The sequence below is a fragment of the Homo sapiens genome, chromosome X (assembly GCF_000001405.40).
Source record: "Homo sapiens chromosome X, GRCh38.p14 Primary Assembly".
Lineage (NCBI taxonomy): Eukaryota > Metazoa > Chordata > Mammalia > Primates > Hominidae > Homo > Homo sapiens.
The window spans coordinates 6,275,903-6,288,383 of NC_000023.11; the positions used below are offsets into that span (position 1 = coordinate 6,275,903).

Consider the following 12,481-nt stretch of genomic DNA (forward strand, 5'->3'; position numbering starts at 1 on the left):
CTTTTGACCTTTTAGAGTCTAGGGCTGTAAAGCGTCTCAGGGTTGCTGCCGAACGAGCCATGAACTGGGCTGGGTTTTTCATATTTGATGAAAGAGCCTAAAGGCTCACGGATTTGGGAGAGGTCTGATAAAGAAAAAGGAGCATTAACCTTGACTATGCCTTTAGCTTCAGCCACCTTTTTAAGAGGAAATTGCTGGGCAGGTGGAGGAGGGCTACTCACGGAATGAAATTGTAAACCAGACCAGGTGTGAGGAGGGGAGGGGAGGTGATAAAAGGATTATAGGATGGAGGAGTGGAGGCTGAGGAAGAACTGGGACCTAGCTCGGCCTGGCGAGGAGCAGCCTGGGGAGGAGGGGAGAGGTCAGATGGGTCTGTAGAAAAGGAAGATTAGAAAGACTCAGCAATGCTTGGGGTTGGGACTGAGGGGACAGGTGGGAGGGAAAGAAGGAAGATTTGGGACGAGTTGCACTGGGGACAGAGACTAGGGAGGGACCGATGTGTAAAAGAATGCCTGGACGTCAGACACCTCAGACCGTTTGCCCATTTTACGACAGGAATTATTTAGATCTTGCAGGATGGAAAAATTGAAAGTGCCGTTTTCTGGCTATTTGGAACTACTGTCGAGTTTGTATTGGGGTCAAGCGGCATTGCAGAAGAAAATAAGATGCTTAGATTTTAGGTCAGGTGAGAGTTGGAGAGGTTTTAAGTTCTTAAGAACACAGGCTAAGGGAGAAGAAGGAGGAATAGAGGGTGGAAGGTTGCCCATAGTGAAGGAAGCAAGCCCAGAGAAAAGAGAGCATAAAGACATGGAGGGAAGGGGTTTGGGGGTTCTTACCCTCCAGAAAAGCGGGAAAGGGGTCGGGGCACAGAGATACGAGGTCAGGGCACGGAAATAAGGGATTGGGATGCAGAGATATAAGAGGTTGGGGCGTGGAAATAAGGGATCGGGGCGCAGAGGTATAAGAGGTTGGGGCGTGGAAATAAGGGATCGGGGTGCAGAGATATAAGGGGTTGGGGTACTTGCCCCACCCCTAGAAAAGCGGGACTTGCCGCTAAGGGTGAAGGAGAAGGGGTTGGGGGTTTCTTACCCCCCAGAAAGGCGGAGAAGGGGTAGAGACAAGGAGAGAAGGGGTTGGGGTACTTGCCCCTCCTACAGAAAAGCGGGACTTGCCGCTAAGGGTGAAGGAGCAAGGCAGGCGTCCCTGCGTGGTCTGACGCCTCTGAAACATGGGTGAGTTATCAGAGAGGCGTCCCTGCAATGATTAAACACCAAGGGAAGGCTGCCTTCCCAGTCTGTGACCGGCGCTGGAGTTTTGGGTCCACGGATAAAACGTGTCTCCTTTGTCTCCACCAGAAAATGAAAGGAATTGAAATTAAAAGAAGGGAGAGATTGAAGTGTGGCGCCAAGATTGAAAGGAGAAAGAGGTTGAGGGATAGTGAGGGAGGTTGGAGAAGAGAGTAAAAAGAGGCCGCTTACCGGATTTGAAATTGGTGAGATGTTTCTTGGGCTGGTTGGTCTGAGGACTTGAGGTCGTAGGTGGATCTTTCTCATGGAGCAAAGAGCAGGAGGACAGGGGATTGATCTCCCAAGGGAGGCCCCCCCACCACCATCCGAGTCACGGCACCAAATTTCATGTGCGTCCGTGTGAAGAGACCACCAAATAGGCTTTGTGTGAGCAATAAAGCTTTTAATCACCTGGGTGCAGGTGGGCTGAGTCCGAAAAGAGAGTCAGCGAAGGGAGATAAGGGTGGGGCCGTTTTATAGGATTTGGGTAGATAAAGGAAAATTACAGTCAAAGGGGGTTGTTCTCTGTCGGTCAGGAGTGGGGGTCACAAGGTACTCAGTGGGGGAGCTTTTGAGCCAGGATGAGCCAGGAGAAGGAATTTCACAAGACAGTGTCATCAGTTAAGGCAGGAACAGGCCATTTTCACTTCTTTTGTGGTGGAATGTCATCAGTTAAGGCAGGAACCGGCCATCTGGATGTGTACGTGCAGGTCACAGGGGATATGATGGCTTAGCTTGGGCTCAGAGGCCTGACAATATCTCCTTGTTTATCAAATGTCATCCTGTCACTACATTTGATAATTTGTAAAACATCAGAAAATGGTAGCCCAGGTTTAAAGCAGCAGCCTTCTGGTGATCTGTGGCTAGGGATACATAGGGGAGTCTTAGTCTTCCCAGACTGTTGTAACAAAGTACCACAACCCGGGTAGTTAATAGAACAGACGTTTATTCTCTCACGGTCCTAGAGGCAGGAAGTGTGAGACCAAGGTGTCGACAGGGCTGGTTTCTCCTGATCCCTCTCTCCTTCGCTTGCAGATGCCATCTTCTCCCTGTGTTTTGTCTCTGTGTCCAAACTTCCCCTTTTTATAAGGACCCTGGTCATACTGGCTTAGAACGCACCTAATGGCCTCATCTTAACTTGATTACATCATCTTTAAAGGCTATCTCCAAATTAAGTCACATTCGAAGGTTCTCAGAACTTCAAGGTATCAACCTGACAGTTGGGGGCAGCTCAGCTCCTCACAAGGTGGGTAGAATTCAGCCTATGGTTCTCTGTCTTCAGTGAAAAAGGCAAGCCCGAGACTGCAAGCTCCTTCACACAGAGTGAGTTCTCATCCCGCCAACCACAAGCAGGTCTTCGTGAGACACCAAATTGGATGAATTTTGATGTTGAACCCTGCTGACTCTTGTCAGAGGAAGTTCGGTTGCAGCGAAATGCTGGTTCTGAGAATTTACAACTTAAAGGCAGTCACAGCCCATAGGAGGAAGGTCTCCCAAAGTAAAGATGGCCTTAAGTGGTGTGGCATGGGTGTCTAAAGCCTAAAAAATGCAGCCATGGCTCAGAGAGACATATTGTTCGTCTGGTTCTTAACTGTTCCTGATGCTTAAAAATGATGACACCATTTAAATAACCTGCAAGGAGATGAAAAATTCCAAAGGCATCTTCCGAAAACTGCAAAGGATAGCCATTATAATGATGTGAAGGAACGGGAGAAGAATTATGAGTGCACCCTAAGATGGGAGATATTTTCACCCAAGGCTTAGAGATGTAGTTTAGGAAGGGATAGTTTTGGAGGAGGAACCTCCATCCAGGACTCAGTAATCAATGCTTAACTTTGAAAAGGGAAAAATAGCAGACCAGCACACAGGGCAGAGGACTGGGTTTGAAACACCAAATCTTCCTCATCTTGGCCACTTCAGGGAGTTAGGGAAGCTTTCTGAAATTTTTCTGGCACACGCTGTACCTTTTTGACAAAATTTAGGGTGCCTGCACTGGAGACATGTTTTATTAAGTTGCTCCTCGAAATTCTCTTCTTGCAGAAGTTATCTGACTTGCAGCTGTGGTGAGTGTATGCAACTTTATTTTGTGGAATTCCATCAGAACAGGTTTAAAGCCATTCAGCATTAATTGGGCCCCTTTGCAAATACTATTGGCTTCTTCTGAGAGCTGGAAGTCTGCAGGAAAGCCAGAGAAATAGACAAATGAAAGGTTTGGCTAGCCTCCGCATCCCCCAAACCTACTGAGCTGCTTTGCTTGTATGCCCTGAATCAGAGAACGGAAATACTCGCCAGGAAAAAATACTTGTAGGAGTCTGACTGTGCCCTGTCCAATTGTAATGAGGTGCCTCTCGCTGTTTGTTTAGTATCCTTACTGAAATCCCTACTGTTTTTGGTAATATGCACATTTTCATCTCCAGCTGTGGAGCTAATGTTCCCATATTTGTTATGAAACACGGAGCATTGTGTCTTTTTCCAGGATATCCCAAAAGAAAAGGTGGCTATGGAATAGTTATGCTGATTAGTGCATGCCTCCTGGCTTGGAAAGAAATCAGGCTGGATTCAACAGAAAGCAGGTTTTGAAGGAAAAACAACAATAATAACAGCAACACTTGAGGGCAGAGTGAAATGTGTAACTGTACTGATCTTTGCAGGTTTCACATCATCTTGAGAAACATGAGTAAAAGACTGGTAGGGAAACTGTTGAAAACAGAACAATATTTGCTCGGCATGTATGCAGGAAAACGACGTTTCTGAGGACTCCCGAGCAGTGGAGAGAAAGCCTTCTGGCAAATTATTGAGAGAGTGAATCAGTTCCCCCTCTTTCTGATGCGCCTCCTAAGCTTAAAAATAAAGAGGTGAAAACAACATGACGTTTGCCGTGCATTGTTGACATGAAATGTTAAAGGAAGCCTAATGTTCTGGAAGCCTTTTTCTTATAGATGCAGAGACGGCACACCCCACTGATCTGAAAGCTCACTGTGTTACTAAGAAGGTACATGCACCTTATTAATTTAATTCTTACATCCGTTATTTTTCACACCATGGAAAGGATTCTAAAAATAACCCAGAGAATTATATAACTCCCATTTCCGTGATGCTGTTTCTTGCTTTTTTTCTCTTCTTTGCTTTTTTTAAACAAACTTCCAGACGGATTCACCTTGAGCGGCTTTAGCTGGAAGCAATACGAAAGATGTATATCTCGGTAGACCCTTCTTCATTAAGTTCTACACTGTCCATGTTTCTGGGAGTTATAATTTAATCTTTGCAATCTTGGCAGTGCAATTTAAGCAGTGGGTTAAGTTGTAAAATGAGTGTTTTAACATCCAGTGCTCTAACAGTTTGATGCAAATGTTTTTGCGGCATTTATGCAACTCAGATTCTCCAAGAAAGTAAAAGAGAGAGAGAGAGAGAGAGATCATATTTCTGAGGATGTTATAGACCAAGCTAGCATCAAAGAATAAGAGAAAAAGAGCTGCATAAAAGTCTTGGAGGTAACAGGTTTGGACAACTTTGGATGAACAGACATCCTTTAATGCTAGTCTCTGATTCCAATTGCTACAAAATCCAGCAGGTATGTTGGGGCACTGTGCAGCTTGGAAGTCAGAGTTTCACATCCGCCTCCTCTCATCATTGTTAAATCATTTTGTTTCAAAAAGGTTTTCTTTTTATGTTAATAAAAAGAAAAGTCTTCAAGGGCATTTTGTTACAACAATGAAATTTCAATTTGTGATTCTAATATATTCAAAAGTACATTGGATTGTGGACTTAAGTCATCAATAGAACCAAAATGTGCTGGTAAAACAACAACTAGACGTCTCCAGGAATGCCTTGAAATTGCCAAACAAGATAATTTACCTTTTCTATTTTTTTCAGTGCCAGAGAATGTGAATAAATTGTGATGTCTCTTAAACCCTACATGACATGCTCTAGTGAACATGTGATTCCAGTTAGTGGGTGGCTGATTTATCATGGCAGTATTTGTTCCGATTTACTTATCATTGAAGTTAAATAACTGAATGGAATCTATTTAGTTGATGGAAATCAAGAATAGAAAGAAATAAAGACATAGTCAATGCTGGGAATCTGTCTTTCTAATGGCTTAGAGTTATACAGTTCCTACATATATTTTATCAAGTTAAAAAAATTACCATCTGTATTTAGTATGTTTCTTTTTAATGTAAATTCAGAGATTGCAAGACTCTGCTCCCTTTCATCCATAAAATATGAATTGCTTTCATTCTCCTTCTTAAGCAAACCATGGCATCAATTGAATTAATTGATCCATTTTCACAGCATTCATCAAAAGTTCAGTTTAAGGGATTAGATGAAAGTAGCCATATACTAATCATGAAAACACACAATCTCTTAGAAGTATCATCTTTAAGAGCATATATTCCAAAGTGATGTTAATATGAAAAGTCATTGAATATCAATGAAAAACTTGGCCACAGTGATTCAGAGCAAAATCTTGGAGAATATGCAAAATATCCTTGTGTGATTCTTCCTACAGGTATAGGAAGATGAAGTTTTGTCTATGGAAGTATGGTTTATTTTATAAATGGGAATAGTGCTTGGATTAAGGTAGCACCCTGACCAGCCCCGGTCTTTCTTCAGTTATACTGTAGAATTTTGTTACTGATACAACTAAAAGATCTCAAAGTATAATTTGGGGTTTCAGAATAATGGAAAGCTCTCTGGAGTCATAGTCATCTTTTCTATTTTTAAAAATCAGAGTCTATTACCATGCTTGGCACAAAAGATGTCCTCAGTGTATATTTATTAAATGGACGATTGAATGAATGAGTCTAACCTATGGGCAAAACACCGTACCTAGCAATTTGAAGGACTGCTAGCCATAGAAATAGAGAAACAGAGTGATCTCACCATTTACCAAAACCCTTGTGATGTCAAGGAGTTTAATATTGGTTGCCTTTCTCCATAAGAGTAATACAAATGATAATCAGGGAAACAATAGGATATATGGAATAGAATACACCAAATTAATTTTGTATTAAGGAGAGTCATAATTGAGAGTTTGTTGCAGCTGATTAATAATGTTCCTTAATATTTCTGGAAAGAAACAGAGGAAGTCAAATCACATTGATCATGGGCTTGGGATATGGACAACCTTCTTAAATACTTTCAGAACTATCCTTCCATTGCATATGTTGGTTAATTCTCTGTGAGGCTTTATTATCTGCCCCGTTCAAATTACAAAGAATAAAATAGAAGGAGGTTTAATGTTTTGGTGATATCAGTAGTTGGTAAACAGCAGAACTGGGGTTCCAACCTTTCCCTCCCAAATCCAGCTCTGAAGCTCTTACTCACTTAGTGATGGCTGTTGACTGAATGTGAACGAGCTTGTGCTACAATTGTCTTAGCTGCAGAGATTCCACCAACATCAGAAAAATTCAGCCATGAGACTGAGCAGATCCTTGCAAGAATTCAATGCAATTCATTTCCAATTCACTACTTTCTCCCTTCTTTCTTCATTAAGGTCATTTATCCAGTCGTCCATCCTACAAGATATCTTTATTAAGATCTCTAGTGTTTAGTGCCCTACACTGAACTGAACATACAGTGGTCATAGATGGGTGCTCTTTTTGCCTGGATAGAAACTGTGACTTACCCCAAACTTAAAACCATATGCATTTATGATCTCACAGTTTCTGTGGGCCATGAATTCAGGGAAAGCCTAGCCGAATCCTCTTCTTAGAGTCTATGAGGGCTTCCATCAAAGTGTTGGGCTGAGCTCTCACCTGGAGGTTGGACTTGGGAAGAATTCACTCCCAACCTCAGGTATGCTGTTGTCAGATTTGTTTCCTTGTGGCTGCAGAACTGAGAGACCAGCTTCTTGTTGGTTATGGGCTAGGAGACACCCTCCACTCTTACGGGCCGTCCTCAGCTCACATGAACACGGGATTCTTCAATGTCCACAGGAGAGAAAGTCTCTAGAGAGAATGGACTAGCAAGATGGAGTTTTATGTAGCATAGAGTTTATATCCATGGTCCAGGGTACATTCAGTGGAAGAGGACTATACAAGAAAGTGTAAACTAGAAAGTGCAGATCTTTGGGGGTCATTTTAAAGTCTGTCCAGCACAGGAGGTGGCCAGAAATGTATCAGACAATAGGAAACTACAAACCATGATCAGTATTGCCATGTACACACAGCAGAAAATTAACAACAATAGAAAATATTGGAGGAATAGGAACTTTGCACAGGACAGAACATTTAATATCATACCTGAAGAATGAGGAGGTGGTTAAATGTTGCAAGGGTCCGTGATGAAGGTACAGGATTGTTTATAGACAGAACAGATGGCCAGGTCCTTCTTCTACGTTAAGAATTGTATTAGTCCGTTTTCATGCTGCTGATAAAGACATACCAGCAGCACGAAACTGGGTAATTTATAAAGAAACAGAGGTTAAATGGACTCACTGTTCCACATGACTGGGGAGGCCTCACAATCATGGTGGAAGGTGAAAGGCATGTCTTAAATGGCAGCAGGCAACAGAGAATGAGAACCAAGTGAAAGGCGAAACCCCTTATAAAACGATCAGATCTGGTGAAACTTATTCATTACCACGAGAACAGTATGGGGCAAACCGCCCCCATGATTCAATTATCTACCAGCGGTCCCTCCCATGACACATGGGAATTATGGGAGCTACAGTTCAAGATGAGATTTGGGTGAGGACACAGCCAAAGCATATCAAGAATGTTAATGATTACCCCCAAATCAATAGATAACCATTCCTAGCCTTTCCATAATGATAGATACAACCTACCTCATGTGATGATGATGATGATGATGATGATGATGATGATGATGATAATAATAATGATGACGTGATGATAAAGTTACTGTTTTAGCTGTACAAATGACTACAATTTCTATCACCCTTAAAATTTTATTTCAATGCCTTGGATTAAGCCATTACTATATCCAGTGGTTCTCTTAAAATATAAATAATTTGTTTCTAAAAAATAGATATTAAGTCATTGGGATTTCATCAGAAATTATTTGTCAGGTATGTGTTGGCTTGCCTCTCTTTTCCTTACATTCATGTTACAAAATCTCAAATCCTGGTTAATTTCAAGACCTTTTTTCACTCTTAACTCCTACATACCCTCACCCCCACCATTCTGCACACATCTTCGTTGTTCTACCCATCTTCCAGTGAGGGATATTCTCAAGGAATGTGTCTCAGTAACAATCATAATAAGCCTACATTAATGGATGCCTACCGTGTAAAAGATACCTCACATAGAACTCACATTTAATTTTTACAACAGTCCTATCACTTTCACGTTGCAGATTATAAGACTGAGGGCCAATTAGGATAGAAGTTTCCCAGACCACCCAGGTGAAAGGTGGCCAAGCCACAGTCTGCAGGATTCCAGGATACTTTCATGACGTTGGCTCACTCTTTTCCAGAATCTCAGGCTATGCTCAACACAATGCTCTCAAAGACAATCTCCCAAGCTTGGGTTTCAATTCCTCCACCATCTGGCCTTCAACTGCATTTCCAAGCTCTCAGCATGGTTCAAACACGTCTTCTTTGCTACACATATCTTAAGTTTCTTGCTGTTTTTCCTTTGTTCATGGGGCTTTTAAACCTTCCAAACCATGAACCTTCTTTCAATCAATTGTTGCAAGTTGCATTCACAAGACATTTCCATTTCTCTTAAATCAATCTTTAGTATCTCCTTCAAAATCTTTTGTGGGTCACACTAGAGATCAACGGACCCTCTCATTCAGTTGAAGGAAGAAAAGACTGATGTAGCAAAGTCATCCTCTAAGCCATCCACAGGGATTGTTGGAATTATTTCTCTTGACCATAGCAGGGCAAAGCATTCATTGGGGAGATGAATGTTTCCTCACTTTCCTTACTTTCAGCTCATTATTTCTACTAGACTGCAGTCCAACTCAGACTCTATAGCAGAACTCAAAACCTAGAACTTAGTCAACCATGAGATCACACTGCCTGGCCAGTAAAGACTCCCTCCAAATCAGAAAGACTCAATGGACATTTTGTTGGATATGACATGTAGACCCTCATTCGAGTATGAAAAGATCTAGTCCTTGATACTGCTAGTAACTGGAATATTAACACTTTTCTGTTTAATTTGAAAAGGATTTTAAAATATATGTGTATTGTATATATAAGTAGTTAGATATCCACACATGTATGTATCATTGTGTTTATATATATTTGTATCAATGCTTATGTGTGAATATGCCAAACTGTACTTTGCTCTATTATCTGATCATGGAGAACCACAGGCTTCTGCTGAATAGTATTCTCTGCCAGTCAATGGTAACTTTTTGATAGACTCTTCCTCTTTGTACAGTGATGCTAAGAAGGTTCTTTGAATATCTTACTGATTTTGCCTCTATAATTTTATTTCTTAAAGGGTAGGAAATGGAACAACTAGCATGCTACTACTGCAATATGAAATATGTCTCAAAAAGTCAATGAGATTGAAACAAAAGTGAAAATCCTTCAGTGAGATGAAAAATGTAGAATCTCTACCTCATTGGGCTTAAGCCCACTACTGCTGTTTGGAAGAAAAAGAAAAAAACTAAACAGCAAGTATGAAATGCTGGAATAGTGTCATCAATGATTTTTTTTCTGAAAGGGATATTTTAATATGCATTTTTGTTTTATGGATCTAAAGCTCTCTTGTTAGTGGGTAAGTTATTGTTGGATTTTCTCATATCCAACTTTAGTGTTGATTTTTAGGAACGTATTGTATAAGAGAGAAATGGCTGCCCATCTTAGTTAAAAGCACACTTATATTATGCGTACTATGCTCATCTACTGGTAAATTCCTAGGGCTTGAAGAGAGTAAAATTTACTGTGTCCATTTATAAAAAAAAATAAAATGAAATAAATCCAAGTAAAGAATGGAACTTAAATGATTTTCTATGATGGGACACTGTATTAGTCCATTTTCATACTGCTATAAAGAAATACCTGAGACTGGGTAATTTATAAAGAAAAGGAGGTTTAATGGACTCACAGTTCCACCTGGCTGGAGAGGCCTCACAATCATGGTGGAAGGTGAAGGAGATGCAAAGTCACGTCTTACATGGCAGAAGGCAAGAGAGCAGGTGCAGGGGAACTCCCCTTTAAAAAAACCATCAGATCTCCTGAGGCTTATTCACTATCATGAGAACAGCACAGGAAAATCCACCCCATAATTCAGTTACCTCCCACTGGGTCCCTCCCATGACACATGGGGATTATGGGAGCTACAATTCAAGATGAGATTTGGATGGGGACACAGCCAAACCATATTAGACACTCTTGTGTGGTTTAAAAAAAACAGCACCATTTCTCTCTCATTTTTACCCTTGTTCCTATTTATTTTCTTCTTGGGAGATGGAATGATATGAGCTATCTTTAATTCTTTGTAACAACAACATTTGCTTCCTTTTCACTTTGTCAGTATGAAGTATTACCAAGAAATAAAAAAGCTCCTCTTTGAGCTATGTGTGGTAGCAGGGGAATAGTTTTTTTTTTTTTTTCTTTATCATGCTTGCCACATTTTGAAACTCAATTTTGGTTGGATACATTTCATTCCTGAATTGTCAAAGACTCTTACTTCAAGTAAGTTCAATCTGCCCTCTCACTCAACTTTATTCTTCTTTTTGAGAGACAGAGTCTCGCTCTGTTGTCCAGGCTGGAGTGCAGGGCTGTGATCACAGCTCACTGCATCCTCGACCCCCTGGGCTGCAGTGATTCTCTCGTCTCAGCCTCTAGAGTAGCGAGGACCACAGGAGTGCATCACCATGCCTGGCTAATTTTTAAAAAATATTTTGGAGAGAAGGGGTCTTGCTATGTTGTCCAGGCTGGTCTCAAACTCCTGGGCTCAAGCAATCCACCTGTCTTGGCCTCCCAAAGTGCTGGTATTATAGGCGTGAGCCACTGTGTGTGGTTTTCAAGTTTATTCTTGTTAAATGATTTTGACATTTGCCTTTCTATAAAAGTTTGTAAAACACCCTCCCCCTCCAGCATTGCCATCCTTAGATTCCTTAGGTAAAGATAATACTTCTACTAGAAAAGAAAATGGGTCTGCTGTAGTTCTACAGACTTTTAAATAATATTTCTGTATCTATTAATCTATGTATCTCAGAATGTAAGTGGTGTATTTTGCCTTTTCAAAGCCAAGGCACTTTCTCCCACAAGGCTGAGTTTCTGCACACACGCAGCCTTTGCTCAAGAAACAGTGTCTTCATGGAATATGGAGATTGATACCAGGGTTAGTGGCTATGGAAGGGTCCCATGCGGTATGACTTCTCTTCCCATTTGATTTAGACCACATTCCATAATAACCTCATGTAGATGCAGAAATAGTATACTCTGGTCAGCCATTGAGGGCCATGTGGTTTCTGTATTATAATCAATGCATCAAAGAAGTATAGGAATCTGTGATGGGGTCAACAATTCAGAAACCATCCATTTACCAAAAGAATGTGTTTTTCTATATATCCTCCCAAGTAGTGATCAGAGATAATCAGCACCAAGTGTTCAATTTAGCATTTTTCTCTCAAAACTAAACTTTTGATTTTCTGACTCAAAATTTTGTCAAAGTGCAAGCGTTGTAAAACTGAGAAAACTGCCTGGTTATAAAATCCTTCAGCTTTATCCATGTATTATCTTTGCAGTTTTCCTTTAAGGAATAATTAAAAGAGAGGAGGGGATAGTAATTGCACAAAACGGCAGATAGCAAAGTAGATAAAATTTTAATCAAATCTTTTAGTGTTTTGATAGCAAAATACATTGTAAATCACTTAAAAGTTTATTTAAACAAATTTAGATGTAAGCTATGCTCTTTCGAGACCATCCATATTTAATTTTTACATTTTATAAAATATAACCATGTTTTAGGCAGTCATACAAAAATGGATTAAGACACTTTTTTCATGTGGCCAAATTCACTGGGCTTGTTTATTTTGCATCCTAGGCACCTAAACACCTAGTTCTTGGCACTGAGATGAAACATGGACTGTTTTTTTTTTTTGAGATGGAGTCTCACTTTGTTGCCTAGGCTGGAGTGCAATGGCGCAATCTCGGCTCACTGCAACCTCTGCCTCCTGGGTTCAAGCAGTTCTCCTGCCTCAGCATCCCAAGTAGCTGGGATTACAGGCGCCTGCCACCATGCCCAGCTAATTTTTGTATTTTG

At 40.9% G+C, this 12,481-nt stretch overlaps 2 annotated features.

The window, feature by feature from the left end:
- Window positions 693–1,431: an enhancer, noted in NCBI's record as "H3K27ac hESC enhancer chrX:6194636-6195374 (GRCh37/hg19 assembly coordinates)". NCBI's record gives its function as "activates a minimal SCP1, AML or CMV promoter by ChIP-STARR-seq in naive H9 embryonic stem cells {active_cell/tissue: H9 hESC(naive)}" and the evidence as "EXISTENCE:reporter gene assay evidence [ECO:0000049][PMID:30033119]".
- Window positions 3,359–4,242: an enhancer, noted in NCBI's record as "OCT4-NANOG hESC enhancer chrX:6197302-6198185 (GRCh37/hg19 assembly coordinates)". NCBI's record gives its function as "activates a minimal SCP1, AML or CMV promoter by ChIP-STARR-seq in primed H9 embryonic stem cells {active_cell/tissue: H9 hESC(primed)}" and the evidence as "EXISTENCE:reporter gene assay evidence [ECO:0000049][PMID:30033119]".